General features: G+C 56.5%; 2 protein-coding genes across 33 annotated transcripts, besides 10 other annotated features; one reads left to right on the top strand and one right to left on the bottom strand.

Moving 5' to 3' along the window:
• Nucleotides 1-1,182: 1,182 nt before the first annotated feature.
• Nucleotides 1,183-20,152, bottom strand: GPR137 (G protein-coupled receptor 137). 31 transcript variants are annotated; one of them, NM_001378078.1, is made up of 8 exons: nt 20,022-20,152; nt 3,802-4,173; nt 3,669-3,718; nt 2,737-2,962; nt 2,469-2,618; nt 2,215-2,343; nt 1,962-2,080; nt 1,189-1,646 (listed from the first exon to the last, which is right to left on the bottom strand). In NM_001378078.1, the coding sequence occupies exons 2-8, from the start codon at nt 4,156-4,158 to the stop codon at nt 1,487-1,489; spliced, it is 1,191 nt and encodes a 396-aa protein (NP_001365007.1). In that variant the 5' UTR covers nt 4,159-4,173; nt 20,022-20,152; the 3' UTR covers nt 1,189-1,486. The 31 variants fall into 31 exon arrangements, 27 of the variants coding, with proteins under 27 accessions (NP_001170829.1, XP_047283219.1, XP_047283220.1 ...); XM_011545168.3 differs by having other exon boundaries at nt 1,189-1,540; NM_001378079.1 differs by lacking the exon at nt 20,022-20,152 and adding an exon at nt 5,303-5,840.
• Nucleotides 4,759-5,498: a silencer, noted in NCBI's record as "silent region_3475". NCBI's record gives its function as "represses an Ori minimal core promoter by ATAC-STARR-seq in GM12878 lymphoblastoid cells {active_cell/tissue: GM12878}" and the evidence as "EXISTENCE:reporter gene assay evidence [ECO:0000049][PMID:35858748]".
• Nucleotides 5,849-6,138: a silencer, noted in NCBI's record as "silent region_3474". NCBI's record gives its function as "represses an Ori minimal core promoter by ATAC-STARR-seq in GM12878 lymphoblastoid cells {active_cell/tissue: GM12878}" and the evidence as "EXISTENCE:reporter gene assay evidence [ECO:0000049][PMID:35858748]".
• BAD (BCL2 associated agonist of cell death) lies at nt 5,979-20,855 on the top strand. 2 transcript variants are annotated; one of them, NM_032989.3, is made up of 4 exons: nt 6,018-6,052; nt 6,307-6,501; nt 18,880-19,070; nt 20,346-20,853. In NM_032989.3, exons 2-4 carry the CDS (start codon nt 6,315-6,317, stop codon nt 20,472-20,474), a joined length of 507 nt encoding a protein of 168 aa, NP_116784.1. In that variant the 5' UTR covers nt 6,018-6,052; nt 6,307-6,314; the 3' UTR covers nt 20,475-20,853. The 2 variants fall into 2 exon arrangements, with proteins under 2 accessions (NP_004313.1, NP_116784.1); NM_004322.3 differs by having other exon boundaries at nt 5,979-6,501; nt 20,346-20,855.
• Nucleotides 11,573-12,074: an enhancer, noted in NCBI's record as "H3K4me1 hESC enhancer chr11:64046081-64046582 (GRCh37/hg19 assembly coordinates)". NCBI's record gives its function as "activates a minimal SCP1, AML or CMV promoter by ChIP-STARR-seq in naive H9 embryonic stem cells {active_cell/tissue: H9 hESC(naive)}" and the evidence as "EXISTENCE:reporter gene assay evidence [ECO:0000049][PMID:30033119]".
• Nucleotides 13,601-14,260: an enhancer, noted in NCBI's record as "H3K27ac-H3K4me1 hESC enhancer chr11:64043895-64044554 (GRCh37/hg19 assembly coordinates)". NCBI's record gives its function as "activates a minimal SCP1, AML or CMV promoter by ChIP-STARR-seq in naive H9 embryonic stem cells {active_cell/tissue: H9 hESC(naive)}" and the evidence as "EXISTENCE:reporter gene assay evidence [ECO:0000049][PMID:30033119]".
• Nucleotides 14,921-15,581: an enhancer, noted in NCBI's record as "H3K27ac-H3K4me1 hESC enhancer chr11:64042574-64043234 (GRCh37/hg19 assembly coordinates)". NCBI's record gives its function as "activates a minimal SCP1, AML or CMV promoter by ChIP-STARR-seq in primed H9 embryonic stem cells {active_cell/tissue: H9 hESC(primed)}" and the evidence as "EXISTENCE:reporter gene assay evidence [ECO:0000049][PMID:30033119]".
• Nucleotides 19,039-19,088: an enhancer, noted in NCBI's record as "active region_4896". NCBI's record gives its function as "activates an Ori minimal core promoter by ATAC-STARR-seq in GM12878 lymphoblastoid cells {active_cell/tissue: GM12878}" and the evidence as "EXISTENCE:reporter gene assay evidence [ECO:0000049][PMID:35858748]".
• Nucleotides 19,099-19,328: an enhancer, noted in NCBI's record as "active region_4895". NCBI's record gives its function as "activates an Ori minimal core promoter by ATAC-STARR-seq in GM12878 lymphoblastoid cells {active_cell/tissue: GM12878}" and the evidence as "EXISTENCE:reporter gene assay evidence [ECO:0000049][PMID:35858748]".
• Nucleotides 19,497-20,062: an enhancer, noted in NCBI's record as "H3K27ac hESC enhancer chr11:64038093-64038658 (GRCh37/hg19 assembly coordinates)". NCBI's record gives its function as "activates a minimal SCP1, AML or CMV promoter by ChIP-STARR-seq in primed H9 embryonic stem cells {active_cell/tissue: H9 hESC(primed)}" and the evidence as "EXISTENCE:reporter gene assay evidence [ECO:0000049][PMID:30033119]".
• Nucleotides 20,192-20,621: an enhancer, noted in NCBI's record as "active region_4894". NCBI's record gives its function as "activates an Ori minimal core promoter by ATAC-STARR-seq in GM12878 lymphoblastoid cells {active_cell/tissue: GM12878}" and the evidence as "EXISTENCE:reporter gene assay evidence [ECO:0000049][PMID:35858748]".
• Nucleotides 21,072-21,191: a silencer, noted in NCBI's record as "silent region_3473". NCBI's record gives its function as "represses an Ori minimal core promoter by ATAC-STARR-seq in GM12878 lymphoblastoid cells {active_cell/tissue: GM12878}" and the evidence as "EXISTENCE:reporter gene assay evidence [ECO:0000049][PMID:35858748]".

Genomic DNA, 21,225 nt, shown 5'->3' with positions numbered 1-21,225 from the left:
ACGTTAGCAGTTTTTATTTCAACAAAAAGTGATTGTCCAGCTTCAAGCTGATTCTCTATGAGTCTCAGATGCCCTCTCTGGAGGCCCTGAGGGCCTGGTGCCCAGGATGGTCCCAAGTAAAGGGTTTTGAAGCAGGCCCAGTGATAAGCCAAGGGAACTCTGAAAAGCTGGGACAACCACCTATGTGGGCAGGGGACAGACCCTCCAGCAAAGGACTCCTAGCCATCAGACAGACCTGCCAGGGCCATGGAAGCAGAGGGCAGTGACTATGCTACTAAGGACAGTGGAGAAGAGGGCTAACGGGAGGGCATAGCTAGGGGACCACCTGTACATCTGGGCAAACCCACGCCCTGGTAGGAAGATGGGGGCTGCTCAGTCACTGCGCCAACTCCCCAGCAAGCCCTGGACTAACTCCTGACTCCTAAAGACCAGGTTGGGGTGGTGATAGGGAAACAGGGCCTCCAGAAAGTCTAATCCATTGGGGTTAAGACTCAGAAGCTGCCAGGCATGGTACCTCATGCCTGTAATCCCAGCACTTTGGGAAGCTGAGGTGGGTGGATTGCTTGAGCCCGGGGGTTCGACACCAGCCTGGGCAACATGGTGAAACCCCACCTCTAAAATTAAAAATTAAAAAATTAGTCAGGAATGGTGGCATGTGCCTGTATTCCCAGCTACTCGGGAGGCTGAGGCAGGAGGATTGCTTGAGCCTGGTAGGTTGAGGCTGCAGTGGGCCATGATCGTGCCACTGCACTCCAGTCTGAGTGACAGAGTGAGACCCTGCTTCAAAAAACAAAACAAAACAAAGAACCTCAATGGCCACATAATCAGTAATGTGGAGCTGTGGGGCCCAGCAGAGGGGCCATGTCCCTTGACCAGGAGACAGAAGGCTTCCTAAAGGAGGTAACAGTTGACGCAGGTCTTGAGGAAAGAGTAGCAACTGTTCAAGTGGAGAGGGATCTGGAGGTAGTGGGGCAATTCTGGGCCAGGAGAGCTTTGAGAACAAAGGCCTGTGTGGTCTCCTTCCCTTGCAAACTGCAGGCCCCTCCTCTCCCAGCCCACCAGCCTTGATGGGGTAAGTCACCCCTGCCCAGCCTAGCAGCCCACTTCAAGGGCTAGTGTCTGTTCAGCCTTAGGCCAAACAGGCAAAAGTGATAGGAACACAAGGCAGATGACAGACAGGTGCACAACTGTGGGGCGCAGACACTGTTTATTGAGTGGCAGGCACAGGAGAGGTAGCTGGCTCCGGTGTGGAAGCAGAGGTGGCAGGTCATGCCAGGGTGCTGTGGGCATCTGGCAGCCAGGGCCATGCCCCCCATCCTAGGGGGACGGCACAAGCTCACTATGACAGGAGCAGCAAGGAGCCGGCCAGAGGAGGGGGTAGCCACGACCCCCAGGATCCTGGGCAAGAAGCGGCAGACAAACTTGGCACAGGGGCCTAGGGTGAGGGGGACTGGGGCCTGGGTATTCTGTGGGGGAGGGAGGGGGATCACGTCTGTGGGGTGGAGTAGAGACTGTGGTGGTGGCCGCCTGGTCCTGGCACCTGGGAGAAGAGCAGAGGAGTGGTCTTCGTCTGGCTGCCCCCATACCAGCCCGGCTCACGCCCGATGGCACCATACCAGCTCCCAGAGCCTAGACTGCCCGACATACTGCAGCAGAGAAACAGGGTCAGTCTCAGGACAGTGACCAGGGCCACAGTCACAAGAGCTGCAGGAGGAAGACAGGCTTAGAACAGAACCCCTGTGACCTAGACCTTCGGGGCCCAGGACAAAGTACATCTCTAGGCAAGAGGTGGAGGCTTTAGCAATAGGAACCCAGGGGACCTCACCTAGTACAGATGGGGAAGCAAAGGCCATGGCAGGGGTGGAAGGCAAGACCCGGCTATCTCGGTCCCCCATAGCTTGATGGAGCCAGCGGGGTGGGCGGGTAGGGCAGGGGTACTGAGGCAGTGCCACGGCTCCTACCTGGTGCTCTCACCCCGGCTGTGCTCCCAGGAGCAGCCCTCATCTTCACAGTGCCCAGCCCGGTCAAAGAAGTAGGACCGAGAGGCAAAGACCTGCCCATTGAGGATGTGGCTGGTGCTCTGGGGGAGGAAGCCATCATCGATACTTACTCCTGTCCTGCACTGGCCTCCCAGGCCCAACCCCAGACTCCAACCCAGGATTTGCAACATCCGCCCCCTCCACTGGCCCCACAGAAGAGGGAGCAGACCCTTACCAGGTCCTGTGGGGGCCGGTGCACCCGGAAGAAGCCCACCAGCAGGGTGGTGGGCAGTAGCTCCCACACGAAGAGGATGAGGCCAAATACCAGGTAGCCTTTGTTCCCCAGGTCATTCACCAGGTCCGCCTGTGGGAAGGCAGGGGCTGGTGCCAGTCTGCAGTCACGCCAAAGGGGTAGTGGGACAGGGCCCAGGCCAGCTGGGGCCAAGGTGCCACGGCTACTAAGGAGGTGGCAGACATGCGTATGCCCACCTGGTCAGACACATTGTACCAGTCGTAATCGAAGGTGTCCAGCCGGCTCTGGGGGGCCAAGGCCAGTGCTGTCAGGTTGTAGCAGGCCCGGCTGGCATAGAGCAGGACCATGGCGCCACCCATCGCGGCCGCCTGGCACACACTGGTCCCCTGGCACAGGTAACAACAGAGGACCCTCAGGGAGAGAAGGCTCCCAGCTTCCTCTACACCCTGAGAACCGCTGCCGAGAGACCCAAAAGACACCTGGGCATCAGTGCTGCAGCCCTACCTTGGCCTCCAGGTAGATGCTAGTGGAGGGCGCCCGCCTGGCGACGAGGCAGAGGCAGGCAGCAAGAGACAGCGCGCAGATGACGAACAGGGAGTCGCTCACCAGGACGCGGACAAGCAGCAGGGCCCAGGGCTGTGCCCGGCGCCGATGGGAGAGCACAGCACACAGCACGTTCACCAGCAGAAAGAGCAGCGAGGCCCCCACAAAGGCCCCTCGGACAGCGAGCCTGCAGCCACAGCACAGTCAGCGCGGGCCCTCAACAGCCCTCAGCACTCACCACCTGCCCCACCTCCTGCAGGAAACCCCAATGTCGACAAAACTCAGGGCATCCAGTCTGAGCCCTGTTCCTCCACTCTTACAGATGGAGAAACTGAGGCCCAAAAAGGTCAGAAGGTGACTGACAGCCATGGTACTTCGGAAGGTGCACCAACTGGAGTCAGAAGTCTCTGTCTGAGCCCCAGCTCTGCGACCTTGATCCTGCTGTCTTACCTGGCTGGGCCTCAGTTTCTTCATCTCTCAAGGGAGGATAGTAGCCTCTCAGGGAAATTGTACAAATAAAAGATGGCTGGGAAAGCTCTTTATAAACCGTAAGACACTGTACAAATGACGAGGGCATTGCGGCCCCAGGTCACCCAGGAGTGCATATGGCTTTGGTGCTTCCATGGGCTGGAGCCTCCAGCTCGCCCTCCATGGTGGATGACACTGGGGCCCTCTCCCTCACACTACCACAAGCATTCCTATTCCTGTGCCTTGCAGATCTGCAAGGCCTCTGCTGAGCCATCTGCGCCAGGTGCTTTAACTTTTCCAAGATCTTCCACAGACATTCCCTGGGTTGCCTTTGTCTCAGCCCTGAGAGGTGGGAAGGGATCTACATGGGACTGTCACCTGCCCCTGACCTGGAGGCTGAGCCCACCAGTGTCCCGAGTACTTACAAGCCTCGGCTCATCTCCGGCCGACGCTTCACCTTGGCCTTGAACACCACCTAGGAGCAGAGATGCCCTTCACTCCTGTGGGTCCTTGAGGCTTGCCACCTCCCGCCCCCCACCCGGGACCACAGTTGGTTACCTGGGCAAAGTAGAGGTTCATAAGCGTCAAGGTGAAGAACTGCAGGCAGACGGGGCAGCAGTAGAGAAGCCAGAAGGGCAAGGGCCCCAGGCGGTTGGCGCGGGGAGTATCTCGGAAGTAGAAGGAGAAGAGGGTGGTACGCAAGGCGGCCCAGAGCAGACAGAGGGCCAGGAACACCGTCTGATAGCTGAGACGCTTGTGCCCATACAGAAGCACCAGCCAGAGCTGGGCATAGACGGAGAAGAAGAGCAGGGCATACAGGGTGGTGTAGGCAGCTGTCAGCCCCAGGGTCACAGCAGGTGGCAGCGCAGGCACCAGCCCGGCAGCAGGCACCAGGCCAGACAGGTTACTCTCCATGTCAGGGAGGGAGGCCTGAATCCCGGAGACAGACAAGGAGGGACTGTCGGCGGGACCAGGGAAATAAATACGGAGGGGTGGGAATTGCAGGGTGCAGAGAGGGAGATGGGGCGCTCAGGAGGAAAGAAGTTGTGGCTGACAGGCCCCTCCTCCTCAACAGAGAGACCCTTGCCCTTGGGGAACACAGGCAGCCTGGGCCCCAGGCCCCTCACTCAGGGGCATGGAAGGGCAGTCTCTTTTCTCCAGGACAGACCGGATAGGGGTTGGGGGTGTCTCCTCCCTGGGCCTACCCCAGAGCCAAGGATGGGGGGATGCAGAGGCCCAAGGAGAGGACTCCCTGGCCTCGGTCGTTCATGTCGTCCTGGGTGGAGGGGGAGAGCCGGCTGATACCCGTCGGGTCAGGGCAGCGGCCGCTGCGAGGGGCGCCCAATGCCCCGCTCTCCCCCTCCCCAAGCTGGGGGAGGCTCTCTCTCCTCCAATAATGCGGATGGGGAGGGCCTCTGCCTCCTGTCCTCGTAATTCTCGAAAGCTGCCCCCGCCCCACCCTCCCCCACCGCGTCCACGCTCCAGCCTCAAGGGGAGGGAGGAGGCGGACGCCAGGTCCTCAGGCCGCTGATGGGAGAGCCGGCTCAGGTCGTGGGGACCCGGGGCTCCGGCTCCCCGGCTCCCGCTGCTCCGCCCCCCTCCCCCTCCGCGCCTGCGCGGGCGCCGTTCGCTACGCAAATTGCGCAGCGGCCCGGCTGGCTCCGCAGTCCAGCGCCGCACCCGGCGTGAAACCGTACGAGAATTGGCGCGAGCTGCGCCGCTGGCGGGCGCCCGGGGTTACGGGAGGCGGCAGGAGGGCGGCCGAGTTGCGGGGGCCGTGCCGCATCCAGGGGGTCCCCGGGTGGGCCGTGCCCCGTGCCGCCCGCCTTTACTTGTATGGGGGTCCGCCAGTTCCCACGCTCCTCTCTCCTATACCCAAATCGGGGTCGTGCCGCCCGGCCGGGGGCGGCAACGGATTCCCGTCCCTCGGTCTCTGAAGAAAACTTCCGCCCATAGCCAAGATGGCCCCCGGGCCCCGCCCCCGGGCCTGAACCCGCGGAGCCCCGAATCCCCCGCGCGGGCCCGCCCCTCGCCCCGGCGCGCCCGCGGCCCTGCTCACCTGGCCGGCCGCCTGCCAGGCGTGAAGCCCCCACGGGCCCTACGGTCCTCCCTCACCGGGTCCCCGGCCCTCCTCCCGCGCCCGGGCAGCCATCCCAGCCAGGGAGGAGGTTCCTTTCCTTATCTCCAGTGCCCCCGAGATGGCGCGGGAGGTGTCCCCCGAGGCGGGCGGCGCGAAGCTTCCGCGCCTGGGAGGAGGAGCGGGGAGCGGGACTTTCCGACCGGGCACCCAGTCCAGGCGGAGCGGTAACAATAGCAACAATAATCACATCCGACGGCTGAGCTTCAGTTGTGGCTGTGCCAAGCGCCTTCGCCCGCAGTAATCACTCCCTTCACAAAGTTTTCACTGGCTCCCGGGGGAGCTGTCACTATCCCCACTTCACTGGGGGGAAACTAAGGCCCAGAGGGGCTGAAGGACTTGTTGGCAGAAGTGGGTCTCCAGGTTCCAAATGGGGACCCCAGAGAATCCCTCTCCTGCTCCCACACACGCCCAAGGTGTGAGGCAGCGAGGATGTGAGCCCCGGGGCCGAAGGAGGGAGGAAAAAGGATGCGGACGAGGAGCCTTGGATCCGGCGGGGGGGCGGGGCCGGGCCGGGTTGACCCCGCCTCTGGACCTACCCGAGTGACGTTCCGAGAGGTGATTGGGCCAGGTCGCTGACAGTTCCCGTTGCCCAAGCAACTAGGGCCCGGAGCCCGGGGTGCTGGAGGGAGGCGGCAGGCCCGGGTCAGGGGCCTCGAGATCGGGCTTGGGGTGAGACCTGTGCGCCGTCACCACGGGCGGGGCGGGGCCTGGGTCCACCGGGGTTCTGAGGGGAGACTGAGGTCCTGAGCCGACAGCCTCAGCTCCCTGCCAGGCCAGACCCGGCAGACAGATGAGGGCCCAGGAGGCCTGGCGGGCCTGGGGGCGCTACGGTGGGAGAGGAAGCCAGGGGTACCTGCCTCTGCCTTCCAGGGCCACCGTTGGCCCCAGCTGTGCCTTGACTACGTAACATCTTGTCCTCACAGCCCAGAGCATGTTCCAGATCCCAGAGTTTGAGCCGAGTGAGCAGGAAGACTCCAGCTCTGCAGAGAGGGGCCTGGGCCCCAGCCCCGCAGGGGACGGGCCCTCAGGCTCCGGCAAGCATCATCGCCAGGCCCCAGGCCTCCTGTGGGACGCCAGTCACCAGCAGGAGCAGCCAACCAGCAGCAGCCATCATGGAGGTAAGTACCCCACCACCTCCACCTGCCGGGACACCTCACCCCCAGCCCACTGGCTCCCTGCATCCCAGTTGCATCCACAGGCACTGAATGCTTTGGGTCGGTCCCCAAACTCTCAGAGCCCCAGTTTCCTCTTTCGTAAAACAGCAATTAATAACCACCATTGTAGGACTGTTGAGTTAATTAGCAGGAACATATAGGATGCACTTGATTACAGAGCTGGTGCACATTAAAGCTAAAAAATGGTTGCTGCCGGGCGTGGTGGCTCACACCTGTAATCTCAGCACTTTGGGAGGCCAAGGCAGGAGGATCGCTTGAGCCCAGAAGTTCAAGGCCAGCCTGAGTGACTTAGGGAGACTCCAGCTCTTAAAATACATATATATATATATAGCAGCTATTAGTGTGGGGTTAGGACAGAAATCAGTGACAGGCAGGCAGTGATCCGAAAAGGAAAAGGGGCCTGCCTAAGGCCACACCTTCCTGGTGTTTCTTTCCTTAGAATGTGGGGGCTGGAAGCCTCCTTGGTGCCCTGCCCCAGGCTACATGCTTTCCCTGGGATTAGGCCTTCCAGCTCCCAGATGTGTTCTTTCTTGCCCTGTGGCTCGTACCCACAGCAGGACTGTCCTGGCACAGTGGCCAGGGGCAGATGACCTCAAGGGGCAGACAGTCCTCCCAGACAGCAGGGCTGTGTGGGGTGAGAAGCACAGGCTCCAAGATGGAAGGATGGACACTGGGGTTCTATGTCCATTTCTCAGTAGGCTCTAGCACCCCTGTGCCCAGCACTGGCCTTGGCACCTGGAACAACAACAGATATCTTCTGAACACAAAAACCAGGTCAAGCTGGGTGGGGTGGCACATGTCTGTAGTCCCAGCAACTCAGGAGGCTGGCTTGAGCCCAGGAATTCAAGACCAGCCTGGGCAACATAGCCAGACCCCATCTCTAAAAATAGAAAACTAGGTCATGTCACTCTGGCACTGCAGCTTAAAAGACCTCCTCCCCATTTTCAGGATTAAGAAGGCTTAAGAGGCCTCTTTCCCCTCGCTCTCTTACGGATAAACACCCACACTCGATTCTCTCAGATTGGACCCCATAGCTTGCTTTCTTTTTTTCTGTTTGTTTTGTTTTGTTTTGAGACAGGGTCTCGCTCTATCACCCAGGAGGGAGTACAGAGGTGCGATCTCAGCTCACTGCAGCCCGGAACTTCTGGGCTTAAGTGATCCTCCCACGTAACTGGGAATACAGGTGTGTGGACCACACCCAGTTAATTTATTTTTTACTTTTTCTTTTTTTTTTTTTTTTTTTCCTGAGACGGAGTCTCACTCTGCTGCCCAGGCTGGGGTGCAGTGGTGCAATCTCGGCTCACTGCAACCTCTGCCTCCTGGGTTCAAGCAGTTCTCCTGCCTCAGCCTCCAGAGTAGCTGGGACTACAGGCGCGTGTCACCATGCCGGGCTAATTTCTTGTATTTTTATTAGAGATGGGGTTTCACCGTGTTAGCCAGGGTGGTCTCCATTTCCTGACCTCGTAATCCACCCGCCTCAGCCTCCCAACAGTGTTGGGATTACAGGCGTGAGCCACCATGCCCAGCATTTTTCACATTTTCATGAGATGAGGGCAGGGGCGGGGTCTCCTTTTGTTGCCCAGGCAGGCCTCAAACTCCTGGGCTCAAACGATCCTCCTGCCTCAGCCTCCAGAACAGCTGGGACCACAGGTGCATGCCACCACACCAGCTCATTTTTTATTTTTTGTAGAGGTGGGGTCTTGCTTTGTTGCCCAGTCTTGTCTCGAATTCCTGGGCCCAAGCAATCCTCTCACCTTGGCCTCCCAGACTGTTGAGATTACTGGCGTGAGCCACCATGCTCAGCCTCCACAGCTTTCTTTAACTTCCTGAGCTTGCACTTGGCCATTTTTCTGCTCACAAACTTCCCCTGCTCTCTGCCCCCCACACACACTCAGCATTCACTCGCGCCACACAGTGAGTGCTCACCGTGTGACACAGGCTGTTCCAGTTGCTAGGGGGCCTCGGTGAACCCAAGCGTCAGGAATCCTTGCCCTTGTGGAGCTTACCTTCTAGTGAGCTGGTGGGGCCATGAGCAAACAAGCACAAAAGCATCCTATCATGCGTGAGAAGATTTGTATGGGGGCAGCATGTAAAAGAGTTAAGAGAGGCCGGGCGCGGTGGCTCACGCCTGTAATTCCAACACTTTGGGAGGCCTAGGTGGGCGTATCACAAGGTGAAGAGATGGAGACCATCCTGGCCAACATGGTGAAACCCCATCTCTACCAAAAATACAAAAATTAGCTGGGCATGGTGGCGCGCACCTATAGTCCCAGCTACTCGGGAGGCTGAGGCAGGAGAATCGCTTGAACCCGGGAGGCGGAGGTTGCAGTGAGCCAAGATCGTGCCACTGCACTCCAGCCTGGCGACAGAGTGAGACTCATCTCAAAAAAAAGAGTTAAGAGAATCCGGAGTCACAGGGGCGGGGGGAGTGATGGTAGCAGAGGTGGTCAGCACTCACCTTGGTGAGAAGCACCACTGGAGCCAAGGCCACAGGGATGATGGGAAGAGAGTTCCAGGCAGAGAGAAGGGCAGATGGTAAGGCCTCGAGGGCAACACCTGCTCCTGGCTAGGGTGGGCCTAGGGGAGGGGGTTTAGGAAAGGGTATTTGGAGACCTAAAGTTGAAGGTCATTCTAAGGACTCTGGCATTGCCTTTGAGTAAAAACCTGGAAAGGATTTGAGCAGAGGCAGCATGGTCAGATTTAGACATTCAGAGAGTCACCAGGGAGGTGGTGAGAAGTAGCTGATCCCTGGATTTATTTTTAAAGCAGAACTGGCAGGATCTGCTGATGGACTGGATGTGGGGTGCGAGGGAAAGAGAGGAGTCAGGATGATGCCAAGGAATTTTAAAAAAACTATTAGGCTGGGCGCGGTGGCTCACGCCTATAATCCCAGCACTTTGGTAGTTCGAGGTGGGCAGATCATGAGGTCAGGAGATAGAGACCATTCTGGCTAACACGGTGAACCCCGTCTCCACTAAAAATACAAAAAATTCTCTGGGCGTGGTGGTGGGCGCCTGTAGTCCCAGCTACTCTGGAGGCTGAGGCAGGAGAATGGCGTGAGCCCGGGAGGCGGAGCTTGCAGTGAGCAGAGATTGCACCACTGCACTCCAGCCTGGGTGACAGAGCAAGATTCCGTCTCAAAAAAAAAATTATTATTGGCCGGGCGTGGTGGCTCACACCTGTAATCCCAGCACATCGGGAGGCTGAGGCAGGCAGATCACTTGAGGTCAGGAGTTCAAGAACAGCCTGGCCAACTTGGTGAAATCCTGTCTCTACTACAAATACACAAATTAGCTGGATGTGGTGGTGGGCGCCTGTAATCCCAGCTACCTGAGAGGCTGAGGCAGGAGAATCACTTGAACCCAGGAGGTGGAGGTCGCAGTGAGCTGAAATCCTGCCACTGCACTCCAGCCTGGGTGACAGAGCAAGAGTCCGTCTCAAAAAACAAAAAATAAATAAAAATAAAATAAATTAGGCCAGGCGCGGTGGCTCACGCCTGTAATCCCAGCACTTTGGGAGGCCGAGGCGGGCGGATCACGAGGTCAGGAGATCAAGACCATCCTGGCTAACACGGTGAAACCCCGTCTCTACTAAAAATACAAAAAATTAGCCGGGCGTGGTGGTGGGTGCCTATAGTCCCAGCTACTCGGGAGGCTGAGGCAGGAGAATGGCATGAACCCGGGAGGCAGAGCTTGCAGTGAGCCGAGATGGTGCCACTGCACTCCAGCCTGGGCGACAGAGCAAGACTCCGTCTCAAAAAAAAAAATTATTATTATTATTATTATTATTATTTTATTTTATTTTTGACATGGAGTCTTGCTCTGTCGCCCAGGCTGGAGTGCAGTGGCACCATCTCAGCTCACTGCAAGCTCTGCCTCCCGGGTTCACGCCATTCTCCTGCCTCAGCCTCCAGAGTAGCTCGGACTACAGCCTCCCGCCACCATGCCCAGCTAATTTTTTTGTGTGTTTTTAGTAGAGATGGGGTTTCACCATGTTAGCCAGGATGGTCTCGATCTCCTGACCTTGTGATCCGCCCGCCTTGGCCTCCCAAAGTGCTGGGATTACAGGCGTGAGCCACCGCGCCTGGCCAAATTATTATTAATTTTAGAGACAAGGTCTTGCTATGTTGGCCAGGCTGGTCTTGAGCTCCTGGCCCCAAGTGATCCTCCCACCTTGGCCTCACAAAGTGCTGGGATTACAGGCATGAGCCACAGTGCCCAGCCAACACCAAGGAATCTGGCTTGAGCACCCGGTAGGATGAAGTTGCTTTTAATGGAGAAGAAACACTGAAGGGTGAGGGAGGATCTGGAGGCTACCCTAGAGGGTGGGATAGAGGGGGATTTTTTTTTTTTTTTTTTTTTTGAGATAGAGTCTTACTCTGTCACCCAGGCTGGAGTGCAGTGGCACGATCTCGGCTCACTGCAACTTCCACCTCCTGGGTTCATGCCATTCTCCTGCCTGAGCCTCCCCAGTAGCTGGGATTACAGGCATGCACCATGCCCAGCTAATTTTTGTGTTTTTAGTGGAGACGGGGGTTTCACCATGTTGGCCAGGCTGGTCTCGAATTCCTGACCTCGTGATCCACCCGCCTCAGCCTCCCAAAATGCTGGGATTACAGGCATGAGCCACCGCGTCTGGCCGCTAGAGGTGGCTTTTAAGCATCTGGTGGGATTTTTAGCAGGGTGCTAGTGGGAGCTGGCAGGGACTTGGAGTCTGAACCAGAGTTGTGCTTGTCTCAGTCCAGTTAGGGGTAGGGGCTTCAGGTGTGTGCAAAGGAAGGAATGGTAGATGTGGGGTCCAAGCTGGCTGAGCTTCAGGGAAGGGAGCAAGCCCTGGGAAGCCGCAGCATCGTTGGAGTTGGGGTCCCGGGGGCATGATCCACACAGGTTGGGTCAGCTGGTGGGAAGCTTGGGATGGAGTTATTTGATGGTGACAAGGCCTAGGTTATGTCCCTGGGAATGAGTCTGAGGGGAGAGTGGGACAAGATCATGGTAGAAGGAGTAGCAAGGTACAGAAAGGAGACAGGGTGCTGGTGGAGTGGCAGAGGACAGGAGTAACATTCTGCACAGGCCAGGGACGACACCTCCCCCCAGCCCCAGCTGCAGACCCGTAGGAAAGAGGGCTGCGGGAGAAGACAGCTGCCAGGTGAGGACAGAGCTGGATTTCTTAACCTTTTGATTTAGTTTTCAGTGTCTCCAAAAGCAAGTGGTTTCCCAGAAAAGATCAGCAAGTGCCAGTGCCCCGCCAGAGCCACGGGGCCTCTGCCCTCTCTACCTGCGCAGAGCAACTCACACTTGGTTCGGTCACTCCTCATAGTCCCTGCCACCAGGCCCCCCTGCTGGATGGCTGAGGTGTCCCCAGGGCAGGGACTGCAGCCACCTTGTGCTGTGACAGCCCACACAGCCCAGTGTCTGAAACAGGTGTGGACAGTGGAGAGGCAGAAAGAAGCAGCCCAGTGCTAGCCCCTGGGCCAGACTGCAGGGTTCAAACGTGGCTCTACCCTTCCTAGCAGGTTGAGCTTGAGCAGGTTAATTAACTCCATCTGCCTGAGTTTCCTCATCTGTAAACGGGAATAGAACTAGTCCCACCTCGCAGGGCTGTGGCGAGGACCTGATGAGTTAATATAGGAAAAGTGCTTGGAAACAGTGCCTGGCGCAGAGGAGGGGCTAAGTGTTTGCGGCTCTTATTATTAGAACTGCCATTGTTATTATTTATGTATATATATATTTATATATAAATATATATATATAATTTTTTTTTCCAAGATGGAGCCTCACTCTGTCGCCCAGGCTGGAGTGCAGTGGTGCAATCTCGCCTCGCAGCAACCTCTACCTCCCAGGTTCAAGTGATTTTCTTGCCTTTATGTACATTCTTGGCTTTATATATTTATAAAGCCTCAAATTTCTGGGCTCCAGCCATCCTCCCACCTCAGCTTCCTAAGTAGCTGGGACTACAGGCGCACGCCACCATGCCTGGCTAATTTTTTTATTTTAATTTTTGTAGAGACAAGGGTCTTTCTGTGTTGCTCAGGCTGGTCTCGAACTCCTGGCCTCAAGCAGTCCTTTTGCCTTGGCCTCCCAAAGTGTTGGGATTACAGGCATGAGCCACCACATTGGGCCTATATTTTTAAGTTATGGACAAAAATCCAAAGAACTATATTTTGTAACGTGAACATTCTATGAAATTCAAATTTCAAGGTCCCTAAAGAAAGTGTTAGTGGAACACAGCAAGGTGCAGTGTATTCATTTACACATTGATTATGGTTTCCTTTCAGCTCTGGCCACAAAGGTGAGTGGTTGTCACAGAGACCACGTGGCCCACTGAACCCCCTTTATAGAAAACATTTTCAGCTAACTTAGGAAAAGGGAAAAGAAAGTGAACAAACATTTGCCAGCCAGCCTTTCATACCTGTAATCCCAGCACTCTGGGAGGCCAAGGCAGGAGGATCACTTGAGCTCAGGAGTTCGAGACCAGCCTGGGCAAGATGGCAAGACACTTCTCTAAAAATTTTTTAAATTAAAAAATTAGCCGGGCATGGTGATGCCTGTAGTCCAAGCTACTCAGGAGGCTGAGGTGGGAAGATCGATTGCGCCTAGGATTTTGAGGCTGCAGTAAGCTGAGATCGTGCCACCCCACTCCAGTCTGGGTGACAGAGAGAGACCCTGTCGCTGTTTTTTAAAAACAAAAAGGAAACATTTGCCAACTTTAGAGTACTTTCTGATTTTATGAGCTCTGAGCAAGGTTGGGGGTGTTCTCTGCAGGCCTGAAGGGGCTTCTGTACCGGAAGGCTATAGTCAAGGCTGAGGCCTACAGGTGCCGGAGGCGGACAGGCTGCGAGTGTCTGCCCAGGGTGGGGTGGCAGCACTGGCCACTGTGCTGGCCACTGACGTCAGCCTCCCCCGGCAGCAGATTGTGTGTGGTCGGCATGTGGTAGGGGCAGGATCCAAACCCAGCCCTTGCCTGATGGCAGAGCTTCACTGCTCCAAACGGTCTGGAACACCACTGTTTTAATTAAGTGTGCAATTCAGTGTGCAAGTGTCTTGTAATTAAGTGTGCCTCTGTTTCCTCATCTATAAAACAGGGAGAACTTCGTATTCTCCTTCTTGGGAATCTGAGGACTCTGAAAATCCCAGTGCAGGGATGCTCGCGGAAGCATCAGCAGGGATGTCCGCCCCAGCCGCTGACTCAGAAGCCCAACACGCAGAGAATGTAAAGCTAGAGGTGCCATGCTGGGGCCTGGGGCACTTCTAGCCACAGCCACTACCCTCCACTTCCACACCCAGCTCCGGGCCAGGCTCTAGGCGGATGGCAAGAGTGGGCAGGCCTGGGCACCCACCCACGTTCACACCCAAGGAGGAGCCACACCCCTTCCCTTCCCCAGAGAAGGGAGAGTCTGGCCCAGGCCCTGCCCCAGCCCTCTCCTTCCCCCAGGGAATTCACAGACACTCCCCCAGGGTTTTTCCCTGTAAATAGAACACTTTTTAAAAATTCAATTTAGGGCTGGGCACCGTGGCTCACGCCTGTAATCCCAGCACTTTGGGGGGCCGAGGCACTTGGATTGCCTGAGGTCAGGAGTTAAAGACCAGCCCGACCAACATGGTGAAACCCCGTCTCTACTAAAAATACAAAAATTAGCTGGGCATGGTGGCGGGCACCTGTAATCCCAGCTACCCAGGAGGCTGAGGCAGGAGAATCATTTGAACCTGGTGAGCAGAGGTTGCAGTGAGCCAAGATCACATCACTGTACTCCAGCCTGGGTGACAAAGCAAGACTCCCTCTAAAAAAAAAAAAATACATATATATATATATACACACACACACACACAAATATATACACACACACACACATAAATATATGTATATTTGTATTTACATATATATAATTCAATTTACACAAATGGGTATCATCTTGATAACAACTAGCTTGGCTAAGTCCACGAATTTGGTGAAAAACTCCCACCCCATAGGACAGGTTCCTGGCAGAACTGGTGCTAGCAGAAGGCCCAAAGGGGCCTTCCCCAGCCTAGGCCTCCAAGGCAGCCCAAGGTACAGCTGGAAGGAGCCTGGGGCATGACAGCTAAGCACACAGCCCCTGAAGCCACATTGGTTGGGTTGGGATCCCAGCTCTGCTACCTACTAGATCAGTGACCTTGGGCAAGTTACCTATGCTCTCTGCCTTAGTTTCTTCCTCTGTAAAATGGCAACCATGAGGAACCTCCCTGATAGGGTGTGGCAAGGATCAAATGAATGAATACACAGGGAGGGCTTCCGACCATCCACCATACCTGCCCAGTGTCTTCTGCTTGTTCTGATCCCTGGGCAAGGGGCAGTGCCCAGGCCAAGTGCCTGGGTGCAAGTCACTCACCTTCCACCTGTGGGGCCTTGTGTCCGGCAAGCGTAGTGGTCCTGTGGCCCCACTCAGAGCTAGTGGAGGAGAACAGCTGCCGTTTCCTGCGTATTTAGGTGGCTAAGCAGGCTGTCCCAGCCACACGGCCTCAGGCAAGTTCTTAACCTCTGCCTCTGTTTCCTCATCTGTACAACAGGGAGAGCTGGATATTCACCTGGCTGGGACTCTCAGAGGCCTCAGGCTATGAGGGGCCGGTAGGGGGCTTTCCTGCTCTCATTTGTTGTCATGGCGATCCTGGCAGATGGGGAACTGCCCCCATTTCACAGAAGACACTGGGGCCCCAAAGGGTTGGAGAATGGGCTAAGGTCAGAGCAGGAATGTGGCCAGGGCCTGGCCCACCTAGCTGACCCCTGCTCCACAGTCACCGCACCACAGAACTGGAAATTACTCTGCAGACAGGCCTGTTCCGTCAGTGCCCCTTCTGTTCCCGGCTCTCCTGCCCCTATCCGAAATCCTTCAGCCTCCCAAGGTGCTGGGATTATAGGCATGAGCCGCCACGCCTGGCTGTCATCTGTAATCTTTACTCCTGACCTAGTATGCCTCTCCCCACTGCCACCTCACTCCTCCAGGGTCTTGAGGTATCCCCACCTGACCTGGGGGCAGCTCTGGGCTTTGGTGATGCTCAGAATGCCCAGGCACTCTGATCACAGCCTATCTTACCCTAGGCCTTTCCGGATTCCGTCCTCTCGTTCCCTTACTCGCTTTTTTTTTTTTTTTTTTTTTTTGAGACAAAGTCTCACTCTGTCTCCCAGACTGCCAGACTGGAGTGCAATGGTGAGATCTCAGCTCACTGCAACCTCCGCCTCCCAGGTTCAAGTGATTCTTGTGCCTTAACCTCCCTAGTAGCTGGGACTACAGGCCCACACCACCATGCCTGGCTAGTTTCTTTTTTTTTTTGAGACAGAGTCTCACTCTGCCACCCAGGCTGGAGTGCAGTGGTGCAATCTCGGCTCACTGCAACCTCTGCCTCCTGGGTTCAAGTGATTCTCCCGCCTCAGCCTCCTGAGTAGCTGGGATTACAGGCTCGCGCCACCACACCTGGCTAATTTTTGTGTTTTTAGTAGAGACAGGGTTTCACCATGTGGGTCAGGCTGGTCTCGAACTCCTGACCTCGTGATCCACCTGCCTTGGGCTCCCAAAGTGCTGGGATTACAGGCGTGAGCCACCACACCTGGCCTTTTTTTGTATTTTTAGTAGAGATGGGTTTTTGCCATGTTGGGTCAGGCTGATCTCGAACTCCTGGCCTCAAGTGATCCACCTGCCTTGGCCTCCCAAAGTGTTGGGATTACTGGCGTGAGCCACTGCGCCTACTTGCTTTTTTTTTTTTTCTCGAGGTAGAGTTTCACTCTGTCACCCAGGCTGGAGTGCAGTGGCGTGATCTCAGCTCACTGCAAGCTCCGCCTCCCGGGTTCACGCCATTGTCCTGCCTCACCCTCCCGAGTAGCTGGAACTAAGGCGCCAGCCACCATGCCCAGCTAATTTTTTGTACTTTTAGTACAGATGGGGTTTCACCGTGTTAGGATGGTCTCGATCTCCTGACCTCGTGATGCGCCTGCCTCGGCCTCCCAAAGTGTTGGGATTAAAGGCGTAAGCCACCGCACCCGGCCACCTACTTGCTTTCTTAGTCATGTGTCTCATTTATGTGTCCTAGCTGGGACCCCTGGAGGCCCTGCACTGGCCCACAGGCCAGGTCCTCAGGTCCTCTGAGGGGAGAAGAGACATTCCAATGGTTATCCCCCGCCTTCAGTTCCTGGCCTGTAATTTACCTCCTCCAAAGAGCCTCCCTGACAGACATATCTTGCCATAAACACCCAGCATGTTTCCCTACCTGCCTCTCTTTTTTTTTTTTTTTTTTTTTTTTTGAGATGGGTGCAGTGGCGTGATCTTGGCTCACTGTAACCTCTGCTGCCCAGGTTCAAGCGATTCTTCTGCTTCAGCCTCCCGAGTAGCTGGGATTACAGGTGCCTGCCACCGCGCCTGGCTAATTTTTTTGTATTTTTAGTAGAGACGGGGTTTTACCATCTTGGTCAGTCTGGTCTTAAACTCCTGACCTCGTGATCTCCCCAACCTCGGCCTCCCAAAGTGCTGGGATTACAGGCGTGAGCCACTGCGCCCAGCCCCCCACCTGCTTCTCACTCTGTCATTGCACTCTGAGTGTTTGCTCAGGGGAGTGGTTCTAAGTCTTTATCGGTCTGGGTAGAGGAGTGGAGTTGGCAGGAGTTGGGAGATGGCACAGAGCACAGTTCAAATAGACCATAGTAGGCGGGCCTCTGAATAATAACCCATAGTGCACTTGCAGCCTACAAAGCACTTTCTTTTTTCTTTTGTTATTATTATTATTATTTGAGACAGAGTCTCGCTCTGCCACCCAGGCTGGAGTGCAGTGGCACAATCTCGGCTCACTGCAACCTCCACCCACTGGGTTAAAGCAGTTCTCCTGCTTCAGCCTCCTGAGTGGCTGGGACTACAGGCGTGAACCACCACACCTAACTAATTTTTGTATTTTTAGTAGAGACGGAGTTTCACCAGAGTTTGAGGCCAGGCTGGTCTCGAACTTCTGACCTCAGGTGATCCACCTGCCTTGGCCTCCCAAAGTGCTGGGATTACTGGCGTGAGCCACCACGTCTGGCCTTCTTTTATTAATTTTTTAAATTAATAGAGATGGGGTTTTGCAATGTTGCCTAGGCTGGTCTCGAACTCCTGAACTCAAGCAATCCACCTGCCTCAGCCTCCCAAAGTGCTGGGATTACAGGCGTGAGGAATCACGCCCAGCCACAAAGCACTTTCACATTTTTTAATTTTATGTGATGTTCACACAGCCACTGGGAGTCAGGGCTAGGATTATCCCCTCATAAAGGTGAGGACACAGGCTAAGAGAGTCGAAGGCTGGCTAGACAAGGGGAGAGACACAGAGCTCCGCTGATCATCACTGGACTCTGGATTCCACCAAACCTTTGGAACCTTCCAGCCTCAGGCCTCCACAGCTTCACAGAAACTGGGCAAGTCTTAACTCTCTAAGCTTCTGTCTTCTCACCTAAGCATGTTTGGTACTCACCTCCCAGGGTGGTTAGGAGGATAATAAGGGAATGTCTCGGCCTACACGTAAGTGCACCATCAATGGTACCTAAAAACGTCAACAGTTCCAGACACTGTCTCCAGAGAAGGCTCTGTGGGGGATGCGGACATGTAGCGGCCAAGTTCTTGTTCTCCAGGGGCTCTGCAGGTCCCTTGCAGAGGAGGCATTCAATCCTGCCGGCTGTGGCAGGACACTTTCCTATCCAAGGGATTGGCTTCCTCCGATGTAGAACAGACACTATGAAATAGCTACCAACCCAGGGGTTGCCAGGAGGCCCCATGAAGGTCTTGCACTAATAATACTTCTTGCTTTTTTTTTTTTTCTTTTGAGAAAAAAAGCCTGTCGCCCAGGCTGGAGTGCAGTGGCGTGATCTCGGCTCACTGCGACCTCTCCCTCCTGGGTTCAAACGATTCTTCTGCCTCAGCCTCCCGAGTAACTGGGACTATAGGCACGTGCCACTATGCCCAGCTAATTTTTGTGTTTTGAGTAGAGACAGGGTTTCACCATGTTGGCCAGGATGGTCTCGATCTCCTGACCTTGTGATGTAACTAGTATTTCTTATGCCCTTATTTTGTGCTAGGCACAGGGCCTCACCCATTATTGGCACTCGGTAAGGATTCGTGGGATTAATGAGAAGTTAACCTAAATCTTCACCAAAGGCCCCTGAGCTTCCCCTCGATTCACATACAAGGGACTGGGGCTCTGAGAGGTGGGCTGTGATGCGCCCCTGGAAGACCCACGAGTGGGCCTGCAGAGCTGATGGGGAGGGTTCAGGCAGGGCCAGGGGCTTAGAGGAGCTGAGATTAACGTCGCCCCCCTACCCACTGACCCTCTGCAGGCGCTGGGGCTGTGGAGATCCGGAGTCGCCACAGCTCCTACCCCGCGGGGACGGAGGACGACGAAGGGATGGGGGAGGAGCCCAGCCCCTTTCGGGGCCGCTCGCGCTCGGCGCCCCCCAACCTCTGGGCAGCACAGCGCTATGGCCGCGAGCTCCGGAGGATGAGTGACGAGTTTGTGGACTCCTTTAAGGTGAGCGCCAGTCCCCAGCGTGCCAGGACCTGAAGTACCAGGCCGCCCCCCGCCGGTCTGTCCCTGCCTTGTCCCAAGGCACGCCCGGATCTGGAGTCCCACGACCCCTCCCCAAAGCCGTCCTGTTCCTTCCTAGCTCCAGAGCATTCTGGGATTTGTAGTCACAAGACTTCCCCGCCCCCACTCCCCAGCTCTTCCCCCGCCTGGTGTGTGTGTGTGTGTGTGTGTGTGAGTCACAGGGCATGCTGGGATCTGTAGTCTAGATCCCACTCCAGGCGTGTGTGTGTGTGTGTGTGTGTGTGTGTGTGTGTGTGTGAGAGTCACAGGGCATGCTGGGATCTGTAGTCTAGATCCCACTCCAGGCGTGTGTGTGTGTGTGTGTGTGTGTGTGTGTGTGTGTGTGTGAGTCACAGGGCATGCTGGGATCTGTAGTCTAGATCCCACTCCAGGTGTGTGTGTGTGTGTGTGTGTGTGTGAGAGAGTCACAGGGCATGCTGGGATCTGTAGTCTAGATCCCACTCCAGGTGTGTGTGTGTGTGTGTGTGTGTGTGTCAGTCACAGGGCATGCTGGGATCTGTAGTCTAGATCCCACTCCAGGCGTGTGTGTGTGTGTGTGTGTGTGTGTGTGTGTGTGTGTCACAGGGCATGCTGGGATCTGTAGTCTAGATCCCACTCCAGGCGTGTGTGTGTGTGTGTGTGTGTGTGTGTGTGTCTCACAGGGCATGCTGGGATCTGTAGTCTAGATCCCACTCCAGGCCAAAGCTCCTGGGTTCCCCGAATTCTTGGAAGACCAGGCATGCTGGTATTTGTGCTCCTTGCTGGCACCTGTGCGCTCTGTCGCCCAGGCTGGAGTGCAGTGGTGCGATCACGGCTCACTGCAGCCTGGAACTCCTGGCCTCAAAGGATCCTCCCGCTTCAACCTCCCAAAGTGCTGGGATTACAGGCGCTCACCATCGCTCCCGGCCCTTTGATTCTCGAATTGCGGTCTCATCTTCTGGGTGCTAGGTCTCCAGCTCTGGCCTTTCCATTTAGGGCCCTAGGCATCCTCTCTTCCCGTCTCCGGCACGGAGTTCCTGGGATCTAACCAGTTCCCATTCCTGGGGGCCCATGCGTCCTCGCGAGCGTCCCTGACCGCCCGGCGTGGAGCCTCCTGGGAGTTGTGGCCTTCATTATCTCCCCCCCGATCTCACTTAGAGGAAGGCTCACGGAAGTGGAGAGCCTGGCTCGAGCTGCCATGGTAATCTAACTCATGTAACCCTTTTCTCCCTCCACCAGAAGGGACTTCCTCGCCCGAAGAGCGCGGGCACAGCAACGCAGATGCGGCAAAGCTCCAGCTGGACGCGAGTCTTCCAGTCCTGGTGGGATCGGAACTTGGGCAGGGGAAGCTCCGCCCCCTCCCAGTGACCTTCGCTCCACATCCCGAAACTCCACCCGTTCCCACTGCCCTGGGCAGCCATCTTGAATATGGGCGGAAGTACTTCCCTCAGGCCTATGCAAAAAGAGGATCCGTGCTGTCTCCTTTGGAGGGAGGGCTGACCCAGATTCCCTTCCGGTGCGTGTGAAGCCACGGAAGGCTTGGTCCCATCGGAAGTTTTGGGTTTTCCGCCCACAGCCGCCGGAAGTGGCTCCGTGGCCCCGCCCTCAGGCTCCGGGCTTTCCCCCAGGCGCCTGCGCTAAGTCGCGAGCCAGGTTTAACCGTTGCGTCACCGGGACCCGAGCCCCCGCGATGCCCTGGGGGCCGTGCTCACTACCAAATGTTAATAAAGCCCGCGTCTGTGCCGCCGAGGCTTTTCTGTGCGTCGACTGGGGCTCCGGCAGGCCGGGGTAGTGCTCTCACGGATACTTTCAAAAGAGGCCGCTGTCTTACGAGGGAAACTTAGGCTCTGCCTGACATCCAGCGACAGAGACGGAAGGGGTCGCGGCGGCTCGCGGGCCTGGGCTGCGCGGCCCAGGTCCAAGTCCCCAGCACGCGCATTGGGACCGCAGCGCTGCCGGCAGCCCGATCCCGCGCTCTGCAAACCGTGCCGCGGCCCCCCAGAGAGGGTCACTCGCTCCTATTTGGGTCAGCCCTTTCCAGCAGCTACTGTGTGGCCGGCCCGGGGCCAGCGCCGCCCGGGTACCTCGCGGGGCGGGAGGGAGCGGCTGAGCCAGGCTG

This window comes from Homo sapiens, chromosome 11, assembly GCF_000001405.40.
Source record: "Homo sapiens chromosome 11, GRCh38.p14 Primary Assembly".
Classification (NCBI taxonomy): Eukaryota; Metazoa; Chordata; class Mammalia; order Primates; family Hominidae; genus Homo; species Homo sapiens.
The sequence above is the reverse complement of the archived record's forward strand: the minus strand, read 5'-3'. Positions and strand labels throughout refer to the sequence as shown.